At 40.4% G+C, this 26,387-nt stretch overlaps 1 protein-coding gene across 1 annotated transcript in view; it reads right to left on the reverse strand.

Moving 5' to 3' along the window:
• TLK1 (tousled like kinase 1) overlaps nucleotides 1–13,378 on the reverse strand; it is a 240,471-nt gene extending 227,093 nt beyond the window's left edge. Inside the window, exon 1 of the mRNA NM_001136554.2 lies at nucleotides 13,230–13,378. The gene's annotated coding sequence lies outside the window, so the exon portion shown is untranslated. The remainder of the gene's footprint in view (nucleotides 1–13,229) is intronic.

Here is a 26,387-nt window from a genome sequence, read left to right on the forward strand (position 1 = left end):
CCTATGGCTGCTATAACAAATTGCTACAAACTTGGTGTATTAAAACAACAGAGTAAGGCCGGGCATGGTGGTTCATGCCTGTAATCCCAGCACTTTGGGAGGCGGAGGCGGGCAGATCACAAGGTCAGGAGATCAAGACCATCCTGGCTAACATGGTGAAACCCTGTCTATACTAAAAATACAAAAAAATTAGCCAGGTGTGGTGGCACATGCCTGTAGTTCCAGCTACTCGGGAGGTTGAGGCAGGAGAATTGCTTAAACCCAGAGGCAGAGGTTGCAGTGAGCTGAGATTGCATCACTGCACTCCAGCCTGGTGACAGAGGGAGACTCCATCGCATAACAAACAAACAAACAACAACAACAACAACAAATAACAACAACAAAAAAAAAACAGAGTAGTCAAATTCATAGAGACGGAAAGTAGAATGGTGGTTGCCCATAGGCTAGAGATGGAGGGGAATAGAATGTCGTTTAATGGGTATAAAGTTTCAGTTTTGCCAGATGAAAAGAGTTCTGGAAGAGACTGGTTGTACAACAATGAAAATGTACTTAACACTACTGTACTATACACTTAAAAAGTTGGTGTCTTAGTTCATTTATGCTGCTATAACACAATACCTGAGACTGGGTAATTTATAAACAATGGAAATTTATTTCTCGCAGTTTTGGGGGCTGGGAAGTCCAAGATCAAGGTGCCAGCAGGTTTGATGTCTGGCAAGGGCTGCTCTCTGCTTCCAAGATGGCACCTTGTTGCTGCATCCTCTGGGGGGACTAACCCTCATGTTAGTGTCCTCATGTGGAGAGGCAAAAGTGCAAAAAGGGGGCAAATACTGTGTGAAGTTCTTTTGTAGGAGCCTTAATCCCATTCATGACAGAGGAGTCCTCATTAACTAATCACCTCCTAAAGGCCCTACCTCTTAATACCCTTGCATTAGACATTAAGTTTCAACCTAAATTTTGGAGGGAACACAAACATTCAAACCATAGCACATAGTAAATTTTATATTTTGTGTATTTTGCCAAAAAACCCACAATTTTTTAAAGCTTTACCTTTGAGGTAGGTATTGTTTTCTAGCCCCATTTTGGAGAAAAATAAGGTGCAAGAATATGCCCAAGATCACAATGATAGATTCAAATCCAGGACGATTTGACTCTAAAGGCCTTGCTCCTAACCATATCAAAAGTAAAATAAACAGTCTCCAATTATTAAAACAAAACAAAACCCCATAAAATTGTTTTCTTTCAGTTCTGGAGACCAGAAGTTTGAAATCAGCTTCACTAGGCCAAAAGCAAGGTGTTGGCAGGGCTGCACACCCTCTGTAGTCTCCAGGAGAGTTCATTCCTTGCCTCTTTCAAATTATGGAGGCTGCTGGCATTCCTTGGCTTGTGGCTGCATCACTCTAATCTCTGCCTCTGTGGTCACATTGCCTTCTCTTCTGTGTGAATCGAGTCTCCCTCTGTCTCTCTCTGTCTTAGTTCAGGCTGCTATAACAAAATACCATAGGCTGGGTGGCTTATAAGCAACAGAAATGTATTTCTCATAGTTCTGGAGGCTGGGAGTCCAGCATTAGGGTGACAGCATGGTCACATTCTGGTGAGGGCCCTCTTTTGGGTTGCAGACTGCCAATGTCTTGTATTTTCACATGGCAGAAAGAGTCAAGAGAGCTTTCTGGGGTCCCTCCCCCCACCTTTTTTTTTTTTTTGAGACAGGGTCTTGCTTTATCACCCAGGCTGGAGTGCAGTGGTGCCATCTTGGCTTCCTGCAACCTCCATCTCCTGGGTTCAAGAAATTCTCATGCCTCAGCCTCCTGAGTAGCTGGAATTAAAGGCACGTGCCACCACATCTGGCTAATTTTTGTATTTTTAGTAGAAATAGGGTTTTGCCATGTTGGCCAGGCTAGTCTCAAACTCCTGACCTCAAGTGATCTGCCCACCTCGGCTTCCCAAAGTGCTGGGATTACAGGTGTGAGCCACCACTCCTGGCCTCTGGGGTCCTTTTTTAAGGGCACTAATTTAATTCATGAGTGCTCTAACCTCATGACCTAATTACTTCCCAAAGTCTCTAGCTCCCAACATTATCGCTTTGGGGGTTAGGGTTTCAACATAGGAATTTTGGGAGGACACAAACATTCTGTCCATTGTACTCTTTTTGAAAGACTCTGATTGCATTTAGGGCATACCTGGACAACTCAGAATAATATTTCCATTTCAATATCCTTAATTTAGTTAAATCTGCAAAGACCCTTTTTCCATATAAGATAACATTTCCATGTAAGATAACATTTACAGGTTCTGGGAATTAGGCCCTGCTATCTTTTAGGGACCATTCTTCAGCCTCCCAAAGATGTGTACTACATCATCAATATGAAGGGAGCAGCATGGCAGCCAGCCTTCAAGATGAGCCCTGGTGATTTGCCTCTTGATATTCATGCCTTTTCGAAGTCAGCTCCCACAAGGAATGAGAGCTGTCTGTGTGACAAACATAATATGGCAGAAGTGACAGTGTATGATTTCCAGACAAAGTCATAAAGGATGTTACGGTTTCTGCCTTGCTGCCTTTGGTAGCTTGCTCTGAGAGTAAGCCATCATGTGGGGACACTCAAGCAGCCTCATAGAGAGACCCACATGGGGAGGACTATCGCCTCCCACCAACAACCAGCACCAACTTGCCAATTATGTGAGTGTGACACCTTGGAAGTAGATCCTTGATCGTCAAGCAAGCCTTTAGAGGACTGCAGACTTAGAACTGCTCAACTAGCCAGCCAAGTTTCCCCTCACCCATACAACTATGAAGATAGTGTTTGTTTTTTTTTTTGAGTCATTAAGTTGGGAAGGTGATTTGTAATACAGGTAGTGATGTGGGAGAAGGAGAAACCAAGCCTCCTTCATTGCCCCTCTCACCCCCTAAAAACCCTATCCTAAACAAATAAACAAAACCTCCTCATCCTACCCACATATTTAAATAAAATTATATATTTTTACAATTTCCACAGAGAGGCCAGGCTCACGTCTGTAATCCCAGCACTTTGGGAAGCCAAGGTGGGAGGATCGCTTGAGCCCAGGAGTTTGAGACCAGGTTGGGCAAGTTGGTGAGTCCCTGTCTCTACAAAAAATTTAAGAAACAAATTTCCACAGAGAAAAATTGGGGCTTATATGTTAATAATCTCTAGGAATAAGTAATGGACTTGAGTGGCACACAGCATTCCACATTTCTGGGAGCAGAGAGCACATTTCTGGTTTTGTCATAGTTATCCTTTATTTTCTTTTACCAGGAAGTGTAATGAATATCTGTTATCATTACTTAGACACTGTCCATTTGCTTTTCTTCTGGTAACGGTGGCCCACTTTTCATCTGGGGAACTACCCTGAAAGGACAGCGTAAGGAACAAAAAAATGAAAAAGAACTAGATTTGGGGTCAGAGCTGGATGCTCGGCGTATGACTTCAATAATCCTTATGAATCAAACATTTAAAGGAGTGCCTATTGTGGTACTGCCCTGCACCTCACCGAAACTTCATGAACACCTTGGAGGAAAGAAGATGATGCATTGCTTTATAAGCTATTTTTTAAAAATCCAAAGCTTTCCATTGCCTAAAAATTAAACATGGATTAATTTAAAGCATTCTACAATATGGTCCGATCTATTTTTCTAGTCTTCCCTTCCTCTTCGTGGCTGATGCATATTTCTCAGCTCAGGCTGCCTTAACGAGTGACTTAAACAACACACATTTATTTTCTCACAGTTCTAGGGGCTGGAAACCAAGATCAAAGTGCCAGTAGGGTTGGTTTTTGTTAGGACCTTTCCTCCTGATTTGGAGACAGCCACCTTCTCACTGTGTCCTCACATGACCTTTCCTCTGTACACATGGAAAAAAACATTTCTGGGGTCTCTGTCTCTTTTTATAAGAGCACTAGTCCTATCCGGTTAGGGCCCTACCCTTATTGGGCCTTATTTAACCATTATTACCTCCTTCAAGTCACCATATCCAAATACAGTCACATGGGGGGTTAGGGCGTCAGCATATGAATTTTTTGGAGGACACATTTACTGCTCACCAAATACCCATGCGTTCCTCAACATTTCCCAGGCCTCTTATAGTCAGTCAGGATTGTGTGACTGGTTCTGGCCAATTAGCTGTTGACAAAAAATACATATGTCCCTTTTGAGTGAAGCTTTTAAATGCTGATGCATGATCCTTCAATTCTCCCTTCTTTTCTCATGGCAACCTACAAGCCAGCTATAAAATGCTGTAGACTCCCTTATCCTGGGTCTGTGAATGGCTATGTGGGAAGACAACCCCAGTCCCACTAGACATGCATCACAAATTAGAAAGAAACCTTTGTGGTGTTAAGTCTTTGGGATTTCAGGGTAAATTTGTAATTAAGCAAAACCTACTATTTCCTAATTCTTTTTTATTTATTTATTTATTTATTTTTGAGACAGGGTCTTGCTCTGTTGCCGAGGCTGGAGTGGGACGATCACAGCTCCCTGCAGTGTTGACATCCCCAGGCTCAAGCCATCCTCCCATCTCAGCCTGCCCAGGAGCTAGAACCAAAGGCGCACATCACCATGCCTGCCTAATTTTTTTTGTATTTTGTAGAGACAGGGTTTTGCCATGTTGCTCAGGCTAGTCTTGAATGCCTGGGCTCAAGTGATCCACCCCCCTCTGCCTCCCAAAGTGGTCTTTTTAAATCTTTATGGCTACATAATAGTTTACATATTTATGGGGGACATGTGAAATTTTGATACAACCATATAATGTGTAATGATCAAATGAAGATAATTGGATATCCATCACCTCAAGCATTTATCATTTCTTTGTGTTAGAAACATTCCAATTCTACTCTTCTAGTCATTTTGAGATATACAATATAAATTATTAACTATAGTCTATTTATTTATTTATTTATTTATTTGAGATGGAGTCTCGCTCTGTCGCCCAGGCTGGAGTATGGTGGTGCAATCTCGGCTCACTGCAACCTCCGCTTCCCAGGTTCAAGTGATTCTCTTGCATCAGCCTCCTGAGTAACTGGGATTACAGGCATGCACCACCACGCCCAACTAATTTTTGTATTTTTAGTAGAGACGGAGTTTCACCATATTAGCCAGGCTCATTTCGAACTCCTGACCTCAAATGATCTGCACGCCTCTGCCTCCCAAAGTGCTGAAATTACAGGCATGAGCCACTGTGCCCAGCCTAAGATATGTCTTTGATATTCTGATTTACTTTCTTTTGGCTATATACCCAGAAGTGGGATTGCTGGATCATATGGTAGTTCTATTTTTAGTTTTTAGAGGAACCTCCATACTGTTTGCCATAGTGATTGTACTAATTTACATTCCCACCAACAGTGTACAAGGATTCCTCTTTCTCTTAATCCTCACCAGCATCCATTATTTTTTGTCTTTTTGCTAAAAGCCATTTTAACTGGGGTGAGATGATATCTCATTGTAGTTTTGATTTGCATTTATCTGATGATTAATGAGGTTGAGCATTTTTCTTTCACATACCTGTTGGCCATTTTATGTCTTCTTTTGATAAATGTCTATTCAGGTATTTTGCACTTTTTTTTTTTTTTTTTGGAAGGACTCTTACTCTGTTGCCCAGGCTGGAGTGCAGTGGCAAGATCTCAGCTAGCTGCAACCTCCACTTCCTGAGTTCAAGCGATTCTCCTGCCTCAGCCTCCTGAGTAGCTGGGATTATAGGTGCTCACCACCATACCCAGCTAATTTTTGTATTTTTAGTAGAGATGGGGTTTTGCCATGTTGGCCAGGGTGGTCTTGAACTTCTGACCTCAGGTGATCTGCTTGCCTTAGCCTCCCAAAGTGCTGGGATTACAGGCATGAGCCACCACTCCCAGCAGTGCACATTTTAAAATCAATTTTTTTTTTTTTTTTTGCTATTGAGTTGTTTGAGCTCCTTGTATATTCTGGTTATTCATCGCTTGTTAGATGGGTAGTTATATGTTTTCCCATTCTGTGTTGTCTCTTCACTTTGTTGATTTTTTTCTTTGCTGTCCAAAAGCTTTTTAGTTTGATGTGATCTTATCTGTCTATTTTTGCTTTTGTTGCCTGTGCTTTTGAGGTCTTACTCAAGAAGTCTTTGCCCCGACCAATGCTATGGAGCATTTCCCCATTTTTTTCTAGTAGTTTTATACTTTGAGGTCTTAGATTTAAGTCTTTACTCCATTTTGATTTGATTTTTGTATATATGAGAGATAGGGACTTGGTTTCATTCTTCCACATATGGCTATCCAGTTTTTCTAGCACCATTTTTTGAACAGACTGTCTTTTCCTCAATATATGATCTTGGCACTGTTGTAAAAAATCAGTTGGCTATACATGTGTAGACTTATTTCTGAGTTATCTATTCTGTTCCATTGGTTGATGTTTTTATGTCAGCCCTGTGCTGTTTGTGTTACTATAGCTTTGTAGTATAATTTAAGTCAGGTAATGTGATGCTAAAGTTTTGTTCTTTTTGCTCAGGGTTGCTTTGATTATTCTGGGTCTTTAAATTTCATAATTTTTTTTTTCTCCAAGAAAAATGCCACTGGTATTTTGATAGGGATTGCATTGAAACTTTAGACTGCTTTGTATAGTCCTAATTCTTAAACCTTATCCTTCTATTATAGTAAACTACTAAATAAATGGACAGATATCCCATGTTCATGGATCTGAAGTCTTAATATCATTAAGGTGGCAATATTCCCCAAGTTGATCTACAGATTCAACAAAATCCCTATAAAAATCCCAGCTACTTTTTTAATTTTTGCAAAATTTGACAAACTCATCCTAAAATTTATATGGAAATGCAAGAGACCCAGAAGAGCCAAAACAATCTTAAAGAACAAAACTGTGGAAGAGTCACATTTCTTAGTTTCAAAACTCACTATAAAGCTATAGCAATCAAGACAGTGATACTGGCTTAGTGATAGACATATGTGTATATCAATGAAATATAATTGATAATTCAGAAATAAATCCTCACATTTACAGTTAATTGATTTTTTCAACAAGGGTTTCATGACAATTCAATGAGGAAAGAATAGTCTTTAAAAAATGTTTCTGGAACAACTGGATATTCATATACAAAGGAATGAATTTATTATAGACCCCTACCTCACATCATATATAAAAATTAACTCAAAATGAATCAAATATCTCAAGGCAGGCACTAAATATGACCCTAAAAGCACAGGTAATGATAAAAAAAATACACTGGGTATCATCACAATTAAAAACTTTTCTGCTTCAAAGGACATCAGTGAGAAAGTGAGAAGCAACCCACAAATTGGGAGAAAATACTTGCAAATCATATGTATAATAAGGGTCTTGTATGCAGAATATATAATAACTCTTACAATTCAACAATGTAAAGAAAACCCAATTTAAAAACAGGCAAAGGATCTGCACAAACATTTCCCCAAAGAAGACACACAAATGGCCAATAAGCATACTAAAGATGCCTAACATCATTAGTCATCAGGGACTCAAAACCACAATGAGATAGCCACCCACCAGGATGACTATAAGGGGAAAAAAAAGGAAAAAGGCAAGTGTCAGCAAGGATGTGGAGAAGTTGGAACCTTTGTACACTGCTGGTAGGAAGGTGCAATGGCATGACTGCTTTGGAAAACAGTCTTGTAGTTCTTTAAAAACTTAAACACAGAGTTACTGCGACCCAGATTTTCCACTCTATACATACAAGAGAACTGAAAATGTATGTCCACAAAAAAAAACCCTAACGTTTATACATTATTTATGAATGGATGTTCATACATTATTACTTATAATAGCAAAAAAAGTGAAAACAATCCAAATGTCCATCAATCGTTGAGTGCATACACACATCATTTTCAGTTCCTTAATGTGTCTTTATTTTCTGAAACAATCTTTCCCTGACCTAAACTGAGAATCAGCCATTTTTCCAAGGAGCCCTGATTTCTTTCATCATTGCTGAATGGAATTTAGAAACCAACATCTAGGTGTGCTTATTGTCATGGGCTGTAGTTGCTTCTAGGAACTATCAGTAGACAGAGCTAGATTTTCTGGTATTAGGTTTGTTTTTTTTTAAGCATCCTAAATTATAAATCGATATAATACTCTCTCACCACCCCCCTAATATTCTCCTGTGAGTATTAATGGATTTCCCCTGGTGGAGTCCCATGAACTAGAGCCCCAAGGAAACAAATTGCATGTTAATCTATGGAAAATGGTGAAACATGTAGTGAGAATGAGAAATAAGGCTTTATTGTAAACCACTGACATTCAGGGGCCTTTGTTACAACCACATAATCTAACCTATTCTGACTGTTATAGCATAAAGCACTGGTGTAGGTACAAATAGACATTTTAATATAAATAGCAAGTAGTATTAGGAAATTAAAATCTTGTTTGCCTTCACATAAATCAGTAAAGCATCAAAAGAGCAGAAGACCTATTAGAAATTTCAAACTGGCCAAATTTCCTAAAAGGCATCTGGTACTCTATCCTGACATAATAAGGGCCAGTCTCCACAAAACAGAGGCTGAAAACCCCATAAGAAACAGGGTAATGAGGGCCATGTTTTCCATATAAAACTCACTTCATGAGAATATGAGGACTCCATGTCACTGTACAGATTTATGAAGAAAACAGAATTCTTAATAGAGGCTTGGGCATCTGCTCCTATCATGGAGGGAAAGCACTTCCAGAAGCAAGTAGACAACATTTGCCTAGAACCTGCTATTATTACACTCTGTGCATATGGTAGCTAAAAACTCATTAGTTTTATAATTCTGGCTGAAGTTGGCAAGCCACCTCCAGAAATATTTCATACAAGCAAAGTGGCAGATGGCAATTTCCTTTGTTATAATAGGATGGTTAGGGTAGTGGTCATGCATACAAAAATCATCCAGCTAGAATGAAACTACTCTTATGTAAAATAATCAATTTATTTGCAGCTTCTGATAAGTTAATCTTCATGTAGTTGGCCTCATTTTTGTCATCCTAGAATACATTCTCAAACAGATTTACATAATTTTTTAAAATGGAATTAGAAAATAAATTTCAGTGGCTACCATGAGGTAGATACAAAATCATTTTGTAGCAGCAAAACAATCAGAGAATAGTCATTTTGTTTTAACTTTTCTCCTACAGCTGCAGTTCCTTCTGCAGGGACTGTTTGTTTAATGCCTCTCTGGCATACCATTCCCACCCTCTTTCTATTGGTAAAAGTGTCCCAATCAAGCTTTGAGACTCCCTACTACCCCTCCATGTAGTTGAGGTGGAGCTGACCCTTACCCCAGCCCCAAGCTCTAATGATAAATACATGACCCAGCCCTGGCTAATTTATCTCCTGACCTCATGATTGGTTCAGAGATGGGCATGTGACTCAACTTGGGCCAATGAGAAACTTCCTCCAGTTTTTTGCTGAAACTATTAAGAAAGAGATGATCTCTTTTCAGTGAATAGAATGAGAGCCTGGAGTTCCTTCTGGAATATTTGCTACAACTGCAGGAGAGCTTGTCTAACAATGCATCCATGCAGGAGAAAGCATGACCAAAAGCTTTCTGGTTTTGACTTATGTGTACCTGAGTCCAAATAATCTGGGAGTCACGATACCCCTGGGCTTTTTCATTTACATGAGTTAGTCATGAGTTAGTAAATCTCCTTTTTTTTTTTTTTTTTTTTTTTTTTTTTTGTTTAAGCCAGTTGGATTTCTTTCACTTGCAACTGTAAAAGTTCTGACTAATTCACTCCCCATTTTAGAACAGTCGAACAGCCAGAAAAATATTACAGCCCTCCCTTGTCTTACCTCTACAACTTAGTCAGTAAACCAGAAACACAACACAAATAAAATTTCTTTCCAGTATAGTACATTTTCCCAAAGAGTCTGAAAGCGCTTACAAATTTCAGAGAACAATACCCTGGAGTATATTAGACACCTTGGAAGAACACTGCTAACTCTTGTTAGTATAGTTAAAAATAGCACTGAAGGCCAGACGCGGTGGCTCACACCTGTAATCCCAGCACTTTGGAAAGCTGAGGCAGGTGGATCACTTGAGGTCAGGAGTTCAAGACCAACCTGGCCAACATGGAGAAACTCCATCTCTACTAAAAATACAAAAATTAGCCAGGTGTGGTGGCACACACCTGTTATCCCAGCTACTTGGGAGGCTGAGACAGGAGAATCACTTGAACCCAGGAGGCAGAGGTTGCAGTGAGCTGAGATTGTGCCACTGCACTCTAGCCTGGGTGACAGAGCAAGACTCCATCTCAAAAAATAAACAAATAAATAAAAGAACATTGACCTTTTCCTGAGAATAGGCTGTAGGCCAGGGACAAGGCATTTTGTAGATGTTACTGTATTTAATATTCACAACCTGTTAGGCATGCCTGTAATCCCAGCTACTCTGGAGTCTGAGGCAGGAGGATCACCTAAGGCTAGGAATTAGAGACCAGCCTGAGCAACACTGAAAGACCTCATCTCTGAAATAATTTTTTAAATCAGCTAAGCATGGTGCACACCTATAGCCCCAGTTACTTGGGAGGCTGAGGTGGGAGGACTGCTTGAGCCCAGGAGTTCGAGGCTGCAGTGAGCTATGGTTGTGCTACCGCACTCCAGCTTGGAAGACAGAGTAAGACCTTGTCTCTAAAAAAACCCAAAGATAAATAATATTTAGAACTCTTTTATTAAGTAGGTATTATTGTGGTCACTTTACAGATGGGAGAGTTGAGGTTCAGATTGATTAATTTTTCCCAAGTGATTCAGTTCAGTTGACAGCGTTTAAACTCATGTCCTTCTGGAGTTGTCTGTGTTGTTCTGAGCAACACTGACTGTCTCTTTTTTAGCCTATGTTATTAGATAATGGTTGTTTGAATCTGTGAAGGTAGCATTTTGTACTCTGGAGATATATTTTGCTAAGCTAGTGGTTGAACTGTAATTAAAAAAAAAATTCTGTGTTGCATGTAGGATAACCTTTCTGTCAATGCCTGCCTACTCAACTCTGCCAATTGGCCTCCCTGCTTAGGAGGTCCCAGCTGCATGGAACAGAATTGGGCATCTGACCTGGTCAAGCTAATTAGATTCATGCACTTGGGAATTTCCACTCAGTGGTAGATTCTTGAACTGAAAGGGCATATGCGTGTCCTATAAGACACACCTCTCCACCTCAGGGAACAATATGGTCTTACATCTTTTGTTTTCCAATATTTTACTCAAGTCGTCACATGTTCTTTTCCAGGACCTGCCCAGTGAGGCCTTCCCACTTAATTGTCCAAAACTCTCAGGGGCTTTCTTGGTGCAGAAGAATTGACCCTATCAAACCTCAAAAAGGAAGGAACTGGAAATCTCATGAGCTCACAGCAGTATGAGTCTGATCCCTGCCACACAGCCTCAACATTCAGTGCCAGTCTTGTGCAGGCTAATGGATATTTGCCTGTCTTCCTCAGCCCAGAGTCTAATGCTTGGCCTCCAAGATCAGAACTTTTTTGACTTGCATTCACATATTCAACTCAATGCCAGGAGAGCTGGGCCTCAGAGAATCCAACTGTTGCCATTTTGTGTTTAGTTCTAGCTGCCAGCTTAAACTCACTCTTCCCTCCGGGTGCCATCCCTTTTGGAAGCTGTGGTATCCTGTTCTGCCAGAGGACAGAACCACTTTGGTTGACCCTGATGAGCTACTGGACTTCAATTCTAAGGAAAAATGGACAGAATCTCTGTTCTTCAGTCCTAGGAAGTCCTTTCCTCAAGAGAAAGGGTGCAAACTTTGCATTTGCACAACTAAGTAGGAGCATTCAAGAGAGCCCTCTCATAAAAACAAATCCTTCCTCCTGGCTTAGGTATTGCCTCCGCCTAAGAACACAGACACCTCTCAATCAATTTTTAAAAATCGTACCTCACTAGGCATGCTGTGCCATCTTGGGTCATTGGCATGGCGAGTTAGCAGAGGAAGCTGATTGAAAGAAAGACTTTCTGATTTTGCACAAAGCTCCAGGTTCTACCATGCACAAGGCCTTGCTGTTCTTGCCCTTCCTTAGGTTCCACCCATGTTTGTAAGGTACTACCTCTGTTTAGTAGGAGTTCCCATTGCAAGTCAAATTTATATTCCAGAAAAATGCAAATTACAGTAAAAAAAAAAGACTAATAAAAAGTGATTACTTCCATAATTATTCATTTGAAAAGCTAATACTTATTTCCAGAGGCCCACCATCTAACTCTTTTTATCCATTAACTGCTACAAAATACATTAAATGACACTTCATTGCTTTGCACAAATAACAAAGAAATAATAAAAGACTTTGCAATTGAAGCCATCCTCACAGAGTTAACAAGAATCCTGGGCAGAAATATAGTTATAATTAAGCATTAGTCAGACTATACTTTGACCCACTTCCTTGCAACCAAAAGCTATGTAGCTCCAGATACTGCCCATTTGCATCCCTGCTGTCCCCAAAGATAAGATCTGTGACATTAGAGTCATAAGACTTTTAAGACTTGCTTAAGATGTTTTCCAAATTCCGAATTCCAGGGAAATAGCTGACACCACCCAGTTTGAAGGCCCCTATAGAGGAATGGAATCCGCAAGAGAATACAGTTTCTTCATCCCCCTGTCCCGACACCACCCTGCACTCTTCCACCAATCAACAATCTCCACACTTTGGACCACTCTAAAACCCCTAAACACCCTAGCCCCAGACTCCTCAGGGAGATAGATTTGAGATTTCCTCCCGTCTCCTTGTTCAACAGCTGTACAATTAAACTGCTTTCTTTTCTGCAACCTGGTGTCTTGGCGTATTGACCTGCCCCAATTCATCAGGCAACAGACCTACTACAGTTACATAATCATTCTGGAAAATGTTGATTCTGGGCTTGATGTCAGAACTTTTGAACATGCTATAGAGAACACCAAAAGCCAAGACGCTAGCAACTCTTTGGTAAATGGCCAGAGTTAGGCAAAGGAGAAAATGGAACAGAGAACTGACTTCAGTTTCCACTATCAAGTGTACCCGTATATCTGGAGCCAAAAGCAGCTGAGAGACATTAAAGGGCATTTTACTGAAGGTTTGCACCTGCAAACCTCTTCCTCGGGTATTTAAAATATGGAGAGAAATACAGAAAATACACACAAACCTCCCAGGTTTGACATATATTAACTTTTGTTACAGCAGCTCTAGGAAAGAAATACAATATTGCAAATTATCCCAAATTTGATGGCTTAAAAATAACAGAAATTTATTCTCTCACAGTTCTGATGCCAGAAGTCCAAAATCAAGATGTCACCGGGATTGGTTCTTCCTGGAGGCTCAGAGGGAGCCTAGGAGAAGCTAGGAGTCTGTTCTGTGCCTCTCTCCTAGCTTCTGGTGCTGCTGGCAGTCCTTGGCATTCCTCAGTGTGCCTTCTCCCTCTCTTCTCTTCTAGGACACTGATCATTGCATTGAGAGCCCGCCCTAACCCAGTATGATCTCATCTCAAAACCCTTAACTTGATTATATCTGCAAAGACCCTTTTTCCAAATAGGGTCATATTCGCAGGCTTTTGGTGGACATAGCTTTTGGAGGACCACCATTCCACCCACTACAAGTATTTACTTTAACCCTCACAAATAAACAGTGACAGATATTGAAATTCCCTCCTTAAGCCCCTCCCATCTACTTCCCTTCATCCCCAGATATAGTAACTATCCTCAGTGTCACTGTCATGTATGTTTCATACTTTTACTACCTCTATATCCACAAGGAACTTGTAGTTATTTTTATACAAATACCACCTTTATAAGATGAAAATATTTTTATAAATGATATCACCTTGTACATTTTCTTTTGCAACTTGTTTTTTAACTGATCTTTAATAGTTAAAGATTTTTCAGGCTGGGTGTGGTGGCTCACGCCTGTAATCCCAGCACTTTAGGAGGCCAAGGTGGGCGGATCACCTGAGGTCAGGAGTTTGAGACCAGCCTGACAACAGGGAGAAACCCTGTCTCTAGTGAAAATACAAAATTAGCTGGGCATGGTGGTACATACCTGTAATCCCAGCTACTTGGGAGGCTGAGGCAGGAGAATCACTTGAACCCGGGAGGTGGAGGTTGCGGTGAGCCGAGATGGTGCCATTGCCCTCCAGCCTGGGCAACAAGAGCAAGACTCCAAAAAAAAGGAAAAAAAAAAAAAGAAAAAAGATTTTTCTGTGCTGATACATATACCTCTGATTTATTTATTTTGACTATGGTATGAATATCCCATAATTTACTTATATGTTTCTTTATTGAAAGACATTTAGTGATTTATGATTTTGGATATTATAAACTTTCTGATTATGAACATCCTTGGATGTTATCTTCCTATCATTATACACATGTGTGAGAATTTCTCTAAGATTGATACTTTGAAATGAACCAATGATTTCTTTTCTCTATCTTTCTATTCTTTGGAAGACAATAAGGTAGGTATAAACTGTTATTTCTTGAAGGTTTGCTAACACTGGGTTGTAAATTGAGTGATGCTGTTTGGGGAAACTTTTTTTTACTATAATTCAATTTCTTTAATGATTATAAGTATATTAAAGTTTTAAAATTTCCTCTTTGGTGAATTTTTGTCATTTATCTGAAAAATTATTCACTTTATATTTTCAAATGTTAGGACTATGATTGTTCATATTAACATCAAATTGCAGTTTTGCAAAGTCAAAAGGTTGAATATCAGCAATTTAATGTTACTCAACATAATAATTTCTGTGGTTTAAATTTCCCTTCATCTGTAATTATGAGCTTCTTTCATTCCTAATATGATTAATTGTGCCTCCTGTATATTTTGGTTTGTCACCAGACACTTCTCTATTTTATTAGTCTTTCAAAACATAAGATTTATCTTTATTGTTTATTTTTTATTTTATTAATTTCTACTTTTGTTTTTCTTTCTTCTTCCTGCTACCATTTTTGAATGCACTCTGTTGCTCCTTTTCTAACTTCCTTAGATGAATATTGATCTTACAGATTTTTAATACTTTTAAATGCTGATGTACCTACATTTAAGGCTTTAACTCTCCTAGCTGTATCCAAATTTTAATAAGTAGTCATTTTACTGTCATTTAGTTCAACATGTTTTTATTTCTAACTTATTTTATTTGAAAAGTAAATTATTTAAAAGTGTACTTTTTAGTTTTTATAAACATTAAGGTTTTATTTAGCATCTTTTTAATAATTCATTTTCAATTATATTACATTTTTTCAGAGATAATATACCAATTTTTGGTATTTCTCTTCTTTTATGGCCCAGTATGTAATTCATTTTTTAAAAAATTCATGCACGCTTAAAAAGTGAACATAATATTGCATATTATATTATTGGTGGTAGGGTACTATTTATATATGAAATTGATAATTGTGTGGTTCGAATTCTCTAGAAGTTTACTGATTTTTTGACCCTTTAATCTATCAGTTTTGGATAGAGGCACTAAAATCTTCTACTATGACTCTGGATTTCTAAAATTTTCTCGTGTTCCCATTTGCTTTTGCTTTCTATATTTTAATGTTTGCTTATTAGGCATATAGAAGGATGACAGTGATTTTTTCCTAGTACTTTTAAGATGTTTATTGCTTTTGTGCCTCACCTCTATTTTGTTGCCTGTTGATCCAGTGTAGACAATCTGCCTTTCCCTTGTTTGTTTTAAGATTTTTTTCCCCTTATCTTTAATGTTATGTTATTCATTATGATGTTCTAGGTAGATCTGTATTTATTGACCCTGGACTTGAGATTCTTGCAGAGTCCCAGGGCTGTGTGGAGGCTGCCACTCAGCACCTATCTCATAGGGCCGACATGCTGGTTTGGTCTTCCCCTGAGCTGTTGGTAACTCCTGAATCTTGCTACTTTGGCTGTGAGTTTTTGCTTCATTGCTAGAATGGATTGCTTTATTTCTCTTACCTTTTTCTTTCTTCATTTCTTCCACTTAAAAAATGATGTAGTAATATTTTATCTAGCATTTGTATGTGTTTATATTGGGAAGAGGTTCTTTGTCAGCTCTATCCTCCATAGTGATGAATCAGAAGGTCCTGAATCCTCTTTACTCTTCTGTGAGATCATGAAGAAGAAATGAAGAGCCAACTGCTTTCCACCGAGAACCCTAGCACTAAGAATCAAGGAATAACATTCTCTTCCAGCCAAAATCCCTGTGTGACTTAAGATCAGTGTGATTTTAAAATGTGACAACTTATAGATTAAAATGTTATATAAAAGTGAGTGATGGCAGTGTGAGAAGACACGTTAGCATTCACATTTTATAGATGAGAAACTGAGGCTCAGAAGCAAAGGAACTTGCCCAAAGTTGCAAAGCATTAAGTGGCAGAACCAAGATTTTAGGCTGATTCTGAGGTCTCAAAGCACATATTTTCTCTACCATGTGACCTTGTCGGAAATTGTAACGAGAAGAGACATTTTAAAAAGGTAAAATGAAAGAATCAGAGTATATTTAAGGACCAAAATGAAAAAACTATAAAAGGAAGCTATCAATGTGGAGAGAGAGAGAGAGAGAGAGAGAGAGAGAGAGAGAGAGTGTGTGTGTGTGTGTGTGTGTGTGTGTGTGTGTGTGTATCTTCATTCCTGTAGAGGGAAACCAAATAGCTGCTTGTCAGTTGAATGTGTTCCTCACAGATAGAATTACCTGTCGAGCTCAGTTTTGGAAGAGCTCAGCAGATGGCATTCCAAATGAGAGATGCCCACATGGACTGTGAAGGCTATAATGCATTTCAAATGTCTATGTCTGTCTCTGGCAAGTGACATTGCTTTGAAAAGGTAGAAATCTATTTTCAAGGCTATATCCATGTATAAAGAGATGCACATCTGCCTTGTCTGTATTTGATCTAAATCTATGTTGATATCAGATTATGGGTGGCAGCTGACCTAACAATATTGGGTGATTCTGAGGTTAGAGGTGCTCTAGCTGATTTTAGAATTGCTAATATTCCCATTCTTCATTTATTCCTCAGATAAAGAAATCTGATTTTCCAAATAAATATGCTATTTCCTGATGTAAATCTGATGATAAATGAGGTCCCAGATTTCAATTCTAACTCTTTTCATTGTTTATAACAGAAAACCCAGCTAAAAATGGGTTAAAGGAATTTATTTTTCCACTTAGGAATTCTGGAGACAGAGTGATTTCCAGGTCAGTTAATTTAAGAAATTGTAGGGGCAGGAAGGTGAGCTATTTTTCCTCACCCACCGTGAGGGTCACAGCTGACACTCTGATAACAAAAGACTGGTTAACAAAAAAGCATAGCCAATTTATTTAACCAAAGATTTATGTGGCATAGGAACCTTCAGAAATGAAGACCCAAAGACTCGGAGGAAACTGTCTGTTTTTACACTTAGGTTCCATGAAGAATAGACACATGTCGAAATGTGGCTGGACAATCTAATGGTAACAGACTGATAGGGGAAGCCCAGCAAAGCCTGTCTGTTCAGATTCTTCTCGGCCTGTCTGTGTAGTATTCTTTCCTCCCGGGCATGGGGCAGAACCCTCTGGAATGAGGGTTTCAAGGGAAAATGGAGAGAGTGACCTGTCTAGGCTTCATAGCTTGCTTTGAGGCAGAAGGGTTCTAGTTTCTATGACTCACCTTAGGAAAGAGGAATTTGGCTTCTGTGCAGGAGATAGGAGGACAGGAGACAGTCAGGGACACCTTGCTTCTGGGGCCTTTACAATGTCCCTCAGTTGAAAGTACTCAGCAGGCCAAGGTGCCATACTTTGGGCTATCGTGCTCTGAGCCCCAGCAAGCTCGACAGCGCCATCAGGGATTCTGTCTCCCGCCATGTTTTCTTGCTCCTATCCGCAGTGTGCTGGGTTTTGTCCCCAGGTTATCTCATGATGGTTGCAGGCTGGCTGCCCCATCTCCAGGCATCTTCTTCTCATACAGCAATGTTGAAACATCCCAACAGGGCAGTTTGCCCTCCCAATTGGAGGAAAACTTTTTCCAGAAGCTACTACTTATCCCAGAAAAATTTCTTTCAAGTCTGATTCTCTAGAATTAATTCACATGCTCATTCTAAAGAATCAATGGCAGCTGGGCGCGGTGGCTCACGCCTGTAATCCCAGCACTTTGAGAGGCTGAGGCGAGTGGATCACTTCAGGTCAGGAGTTCGAGACCAGCCTGGCCAACATGGTGAAACCCCATCTCTACTGAAAATACAAAAATTAGCCAGGTGTGGTGTTGAGCACCTGTAGTCCCAGCTACTTGAGAGGCTGAGGTGGGAGGGTGGCTTGAGCTTAGGAGGCGGAGGTTGCAGTGAGCTGAGATCATGCCACCGTACTCCAGCCTGGGTGACAGAGCAAGACCCTAACTCAAAAAAAAAAAAAAAAAAAAAAAGAATCAATGGCAATAAAAATGGAATTGCCACTATAGGCTTTGCTAACAGAGACTCACCCTTTGATGCTGAGGAGGGGCTCCTTCACTGAGCACGTGGCCATGGTGAGGGCACACCAAATTGGGATTCTGTTGATAAGCAACATGGGAAGAACTGGCTACTGACAGGCTGTCAACAATATCTGCCACACTTAAGTCCTGTTGGACTGAGGAAATATGCTAAAAATTATTACCTTGATCAATTGGTTAAAGAAGGGGGGCCTACTATCATTATTTAACCATCAAACTGCTATGAATGACCATTGTCTTTACGAGAAAAACTTAATTTTTTCAGTATGTGAAGCTTGAGCCTACATCTTTAAAGACTATAGTTTGTTTGCCTAGAACAGCATCCCTCATGTTTTTGGAAAATCAGAAGTTTCACCATTCTACACAAGTGAATCTTTTGGGCTCTGCTAATTACTATACCCACTCCTCTGGCAATAAAGGTGAGCATGTAACCCAGGATGGGCCAATTTTTCCTACCTCTTTGGCCACGCTGATTATTCTATAGATAAGCACACGACTCAAGTCAAGTCTTTCTGAAGACTTTTCTAACTGGAGATGAAAGGAAATGATACTTTTTTTTTTTTTTTTTTTTTTTTTTTTTTTTTTTTTTGGAGAAATGGGATGAGGTTTTCCTCCCAAGCATAGAACTATAAAGCCTGGACACAAATGTGGCCACAATTCTAGCTGCACAGTTATAGAAGACCTGAGACAATGAAGCCACACACAGAAAAAAAAACAAAAAACAAACAAACAAAAAAAACAGATTTGAAACACAGAGGCAATAACAGATGAAGCAGAGAGAAAAGAAAGGCAGAGACATAGATATGATAGTGTTTGATTCTCTGAACCCACCATTCCTGTCCTTTTGTGCTTTTAACCAATAAAGTACTTTTTGTTTAAGCTAATATGTATTGGATTACTCTTAATTGCAGCAAGAAGAGTCCTCACTAAACAGAGTATTTCAATAATTTAAACTACATAGTTGAGGAGGGCCAACATTTAAATTGTACAATACAGGTACTATTTAAGTCAAGGTCAGTCTTGAGGCAGAAACCACACAGTAATGCAAACAGGTGAAGTTTATTTATTTATTTATTTATTTATTTATTTATTTATTTATTTATTTTTTGAGACAGAATCTCACTCTGTCACCCAGGCTAGAGTGCAGTGGTATGATCTCGGCTCACTGCAACCTCTGCCTCCCGGGTTCAGAGGCGGTTCTCCTGCCTCAGCCTCCCGAGTAGCTGGGATTACAGGTGCCTGGCACCACGCCCAGCTAATTTTTATGTTTTTAGTAGAGGCAGGGTTTCACTATGTTGGCCATGGTTGGCCAGGCTGGTCTCGAACTCCTGACCTCAGGTGATCCGAGTGCCTTGGCCTCCTAAAGTGCTGGGATTACAGGTGTGAGCCATTGCACCTGGCCTCAAACAGGTGAAGTTTAATATAAAGAATTAGTAACCATAACAGAAGACTGGAGTAATTAGAGAAGTCTAGTAAGAAGTAAAAAAAAGTTCTAAATAATATAGGAATATTAGATAGAAGTAGCAGCCATTACCTCTAGGGCTGAGATAAAGTCACTGAGGAAGAGTCCTCCTGCCCTTCTAGTCTGAGAGTCAGACCTTGTTAGGGAGGGCATGGGCACGTGACTCCCTGAATGGAGAAGTCAGTGTGGTGCCAGGTTAGTGTAACTTGCTGGAAATTCACCCTGCCAAGGAAAGCTGTTAAGAAGGAGGTGTCTTGCTGGACATGTACTACTACAAAACCATACAAGAGGGGTACCAGGGGAAGTTGCTGGCTTCTGGTACTGCTGACCACCCCTGTGCACAGCAGGAGCCCAGTGATGGAGAAACCACATGCATTACCAGTTGTCAGAGAAGCCACTTACGCTGCAGGAGATGGCTACAAGACACAGACACACAGGAACCAGGAAGGAAACCCCGTTCATCTTGCAATATCTAACCAAAGACTCAGTGACAAAACTTAACATTTACCAGTTGGAAAAGGAAAAATATTTAAAGGGCGCAGTTCCGTTTTTGCAGAGCAGGCAATGAAGAGTGAATTTGGAGCTATGAGGCAATAAATGGAGAACTTGCAAAAGCACATTATTGGAGTGTCCTGAGAACCTCATAATGTGTTGAGTCTGGGGTAAAATAAAATCTGCTTTACTTGACCTCAAAGAAACATACAACTTTAGAAATGTTATTTCAGGATAACTATTCCTCAAGCAATTTCTTTCAGCAAACAAAAATACTCGACCAGGGTCATGGTTGTTTCATAAACAAACTGAACTCCAGTAGAAGATTCTGTCATGGCAAAGCTCAGGTTGGATATCCTACATATCTTATCCCTTGCCATGAAATGTTGTACAATTTGTCATAATCATTTGGTAACTTTGTAAGGCTAGGGCTTAGAAAACAATTCTCCTTTACAGCAGGGTTCCCCAACCTGCAGGCCACAGACTGGTACCAGTTAGGAACTGGGCCACATGGCAGGAGGTGAGCTGCCGGTGAGTGAGCATTACCACCTGAGCACTGCCTCCTCTCAGATCAATGGTGGCATTTGATTTCGCACTGGAGCACAAACCCTATTGTGAACTACACGTGTGAGGGTTGCACACTCCTTATGAGAATCTAATGTCTGATGATCTGAGGTGGAAGAATTTCATCCTGAAACCATCGCCCCCACTGTCCATGGAAAAATTGTCTTTCATGAAACCGGTCCCTGGGGTCAAAATGTTGGGGACGACTGCTTTACAGGGAAGAGAATATTGATGGGCAATGTGCAGCTACTGGATTTGTATAATCTGAGTCTGAGGTTTCATTTGGCCACTTACCATCTACCGTTTCCTTCCCTATTTTTTTCATTTTTGAACAGAATAATAATAGCCTGTTCCCCAATGATAGCTCTTTCTCTCTCTTTTTGTCTCTCTGCCTGCCCACTTGCCTTCCTTCCTTCCTTTGCTTTCAACATGTTTTCACTCTTGTCACCCAGGCTGGAGTGCAGTGGGACAATCAGGGCTCACTGCAGCCTTGACCTCCTGGGCTCAAGCGATCCTTCCACCTTAGCTTCCTAAATAGCTGGGACTAAAGGAGCATGCCACCATACCCAGTTAACTTTTTTTAATTTTATTTTTTGTAGAGACAAGATCTCTCTATCTTGCCCAGGGTGGTCTTGAACTCCTTGGCTCCAGGATCTTCCTGCCTCAGCCTCCCAAAGTGCTGGGATTACAGGCGTGAGCCACCGGGCCCAGCCATTCATGTGCTCTAATTCTCGATACTTTTCTCTACCAGAAGATCTCTTCTGAGTAAAATGAAGAGAGAGAGAGAGAAAGGAAGAGAAGAAAAGAGAAGAGAGGAGACCAGGCGCAGTGGCTCACACCCGTAATCCCAGCACTTTGGGAGGCTGAGGTGGGCGGATCACAAAGTCAGGAGTTCAAGACCAGCCTGGCCTACATGGTGAAACCCCATCTCTACTAAAAATACAAATATTAGCCAGGCATGGTGGCATGTGCCTGTAGTCCCAGCTACTCGGGAGGCTGAGGCAGGAGAATTGCTTGAACCCGGGAGGTGGAGGTTGCAGTGAGCCAAGATTGCACCACTGCCCTCCAGCCTGGGTGACAGAGCAAGACTCCAGTTCAAAAAAAAAAAAAAAAAGGTGAGAGAAAGAAGAGAGATTGACTATGAGCCCCATTCAAGTGTTTTCTCAGTCCCTCAGTGAACAATCAGCCCATTTCTGCTCTATTTTCCCATGCTCCAGATTAGGCTCTACTTGACTAAAGAATCTAACATTATTTGATTTCCACAGTGAAAGGCTAGGTCAATGGCAAGAGGAGTCTGTATCCTCTTCAGCTGGCACTTTCTCGGAGGAGAGAGAAGCTCTGTTTTGATGGTATTATGTAACAGATGATTGATAAAGTGAACAGTCATTGTGCCAGTTTAAATCATGCCCTCTGTCCTGACCCTAGACAAAAATTTGCAAAAGGTCCTCTGTTCAAATCACTATGCTCAGAGGAGAGGTAGCCTCCCCAGGAGGCTTTTCCGCATGTTGCATTTTGGACAAAACACAACAGTGGGACTGGAGAGAAAAGAGCCTGGGTAAAGAAAGGCCCATGGCAGTGCAGATGGAGCCCATTTGCTGATTGAAATAAGGAAGCGGGTTGGAAGCAGTGGCTCACACCTGTAATCCCAGCACTTTGGGAGGTTGAGGTGGGTGGATCGCCTGAGGTCAGGAGTTCAAAACCAGATTGGCCAACATGGTGAAAACCCATCTCTACCAAAAATACAAAAAAAAGAAAAAAAAGAAAAAAATTAGCTGGGCATGGTGGCATGCACCTATAATCCCCGCTACCCGGGAGGCTGAGGCAGGAGAATCACTTGAATCCAGGAGGTGGAGGTTGCAGTGAGCCGAGATCTCGCCACTGCACCCAAGCCTGGGCAACAAGAGCAAAACTCCGTCCCCCGCCTCCCACAAAAAAAAAAAAGAAAAAAGAAAAAGAAATAAGGACGCAACTGACTGTGTGAACTCCAGGTAGCAGAACAAAGACCCAGGAGTAGAAGTGAGAGGCAGATTTGTGTATGTTGGTTCAATATAAAGTAAAGTTTCCTAATACAGTTATTCTAAAACAAGATAGGCTGCCATACTAAGAAGTAATTTCTCCAAAGTAGACATGTTCAGGCACAAGTAACAATATTGTAGAGTGAATTCCTGCCTCGGTGGGGAGAAAGGACTAGGTGACCTCTAGACTTTCCACAATCCCATGGCATTTGATGGGACTAAAGGAGAGCTCTGCTCTGACAATCAGTGCTCTAGAGAGCTACTTGATTCTGATTGCTTGTCCAAAGACTCAGGAGGAAATCAGTTCTTCCTGGGGTATCCGGACCCACCAGACATTGTCAAGGCTTTCTTTCCATTATTGAATCCTCTCCGCAGGCTAGTATCAATTATTACTCTGCCTTTACAAATGAAGAACTGAGGCTCAGAGAATTTGTGTTACCAGTCTTAATTATAATAGAATCCAGTCTTGTCTGTCTTGAAGACTGTGTTCTTAATCATTTTATTACACTGAAACACTGATTACAAATGTATCAACATATTTAGGCACTATATAAAATCAAACAAACTTTTAAAATAGTCAAACAGGTCTTGATACACATTTTTGTTACTATGTCATTTAGTTGCCACTTCATAACAAAATCTTGATTTTTCTCTTCTAGTTTTCAAAAAAATTCTTCTTTTTCCCTCAGTTTTAAAGCTTCCAGGCCTATGACATGCTAGGAAGAAATCACTCTTTAAAAGTCCTAGTAGACATTACAGGGTTTCTCCCATTGTGTACATTAATTCAGAATCTTGTGGAGTATGACTTCCATGTCCTTAAAGGCAAAGTCTTTCTCCAATATCTCTTTTCCTTGCTCTTTCTTCTTTCTGTTCAGGAAAAATTATTCTCCCCTCACCCTCCTTTTTTCTCTTCTACTACTATCTGAAGTCTCTGTCTAACCACTTTGTTTCCTTTCTTTTTTATTTATTTTAATATATTTTTTAAAAAACTTGTTTTCTTCTTTTCCTTCTATTTGGAGACAGTGTCTTGCTCTGTCAACCAGGTTGGAGTGCAGTGGTATGATCATAGCTCACTGCAGCCCCATGCTCCCGGGCTTAAGTGATTCTCCCACCTCAGCCTGCTGAGTAGCTAGGACTACAGGCATGCCCTACCATGCCCAACTAATGTTTTAAGTTGTTTTTGCAGAGACAGGGATCTCACTATGTTGCCTAGGCTGGTCTGGAACTCTTGGCCTCAAGCAATCCTCCTACCTCAGCTTCCAAAAGTGCTGGGATTACAGGCATGGGCCACTGTGTCTGGCACTGTTTTCTTTCAATGAGAAAAAATTTACTCTAGTAACTAAGTTACTAATTCATTCAATTAACCTTCTCCTTAATCACTTCTCAATTGGCTTAAGTGATTTCTTTGCTAAACCCCGCAGTTTTACAATCTGCTCTGGCCAACCTGCATCTTCAGAGAAACTTACAAAAAATCAGGGGGGTCTCTCTGGATCTATTCTGGTTCTGGGGCTGCCCAATTAAAAAAACAAAAAGAAAATAATCAAAACACTTTAAATACTTTTTTTTTTTTTTTGGAGACAGAGTCTCACTCTGTTGCCCAAGCTAGAGTGCAGTGGTGCAATCTCAGCTCACTGCAACCTCCGCCTCCTGGGTTCAAGCAATTCTAGTGGGTCAGCCTCCTGAGTAGCTGGGACTGCAGGCATCTGCCACCATGCCCAGCTAATTTTTTTTTTTATTTTTAGTAGAGACAGGATTTTACCATGTTGGCCAGGCTGATCTTGAACTCCTGACCTCTGGTGATCTGCCTGCCTCGGCCTCCCAAAGTGCTGGGATTACAGGTGTGAGCCACCGTGCCTGGCCAAGGATTTTTAAAGGAAAAGAAGAGACACTTCCTGAGTTGGTTACCAAGAATTTCCATTCTTTTTGTTGTCGTCGTTTTTAATCTACTCATCAAAAAGGAAAATAATTTCTATTCAAATAACATAAGTAGGTTGGGCATGGTGGTTTATGCCTGTAATCCTACACTTTGGGAGGCCAAGGTGGGAAAGATTGCTTTAGCTCAGGAGTTCAAGACCAGCCTGGGCAACATAGTGAGACCCTGTCTCTTAAAAAAAAAAAGAAAAAAAAGATAAATAAAATAAGCTATTGATTGGCTATATACTGTCCTTGGTATCATGAATTCCAGGAACATGAAGACAGCAGGAGAGGCAGCTAGTTAGGAACAAAATGACTTTAAACAATACCCCCAGGCATGAGTAGGGGATGACTGCAAGCCCTGCACTGTGTCTCTCTGGGCCTGCAAACCTCACAGAGCTGAGAGCTCTTTGAGCTGTTTTTCTTTTCTCAGAACCATTTAAACATAAGTTATACCATGATAAAGACATAGCCATAGGAAGTCCATACAACTCAATTGATTTATATTCTCCAAAATGGTGTCATCAATTAAAATGATGTAGATGGAATCTGATTTTCCCTTTTGAACCTGTAAGAAGGCGATGAAGTGTCTAAGGCCCTGAAGCCCATGATTTAATGAATGCTGGGTATTTATTAAAATGAAAGAAGCAAAAAACTGGAAGGAACTTTAAAATCATCCAGAGACTCCAATTCTTCTATTTTACAAATATGGAATAGCAACCTCTTACTCCATAGTCAATAAATTATATATCTAATGCTGAATAGTGTAATCTAAATAGTAATTAATCACACCCAACTTCAAATTTCATGATAACGACTTATGCATACACTACAGGAAAGTCTCTTTTAATATTCTTCATAATTTTTTCCTTGTTTTGATTGTAGCAAAGCAAAAATGAAAGGATTGCTGCAAGGAATCTTGGGCCAAGGAACTGAAAATAACTTTTTTTTTCTTTGAGATGGAGTCTCGCTCTGTTGCCCAGGCTGGAGTGTGATGGCACAGTCTCGGCTCACTGCAACCTCCGCCTCCCAGGTTCAAGCGATTCTCCTGCCTCAGCCTCCCGAGTAGCTGGGATTACAGGCATGCGCCACCACGCCCGGCTAATTTTTGTATTTTTAGTAGAGACAGGGTTTCACCATGTTGGTCACGCTGGTCTTGAAGTCCTGACCTCATGATCTGCCTGCCTCGGCCTCCCAAATTGCTGGGATTACAGGCATGAGCCACTGCATCTGGCCGAAAATAACTTCTAATGGAAATTTTGACAAAGCTTCTTCGGGAAGTAACTTTGGGGGAAATTTTGGGGGTGGTCTTTGCGTACATGGTTCAGGAAAGTTTGTCTCACTGTCTAACTTCATAGCTTTATAAATCAAATTAATGGTGTTGAGTTGTGGTATAATATAGTTGGTCTTTATTTGCCTCCAGTTCCTGGCACAGAGCTCCTAAATTATTAGAATTTCTTGAGTGATAGGTGTATCTTTTGTTATTCATAATGAGCTCCTTTTGACCATACTAGAGTTTATGTTAATGAGGTGACTCA

This window comes from Homo sapiens, chromosome 2 (genome assembly GCF_000001405.40).
Source record: "Homo sapiens chromosome 2, GRCh38.p14 Primary Assembly".
Classification (NCBI taxonomy): domain Eukaryota; kingdom Metazoa; phylum Chordata; class Mammalia; order Primates; family Hominidae; genus Homo; species Homo sapiens.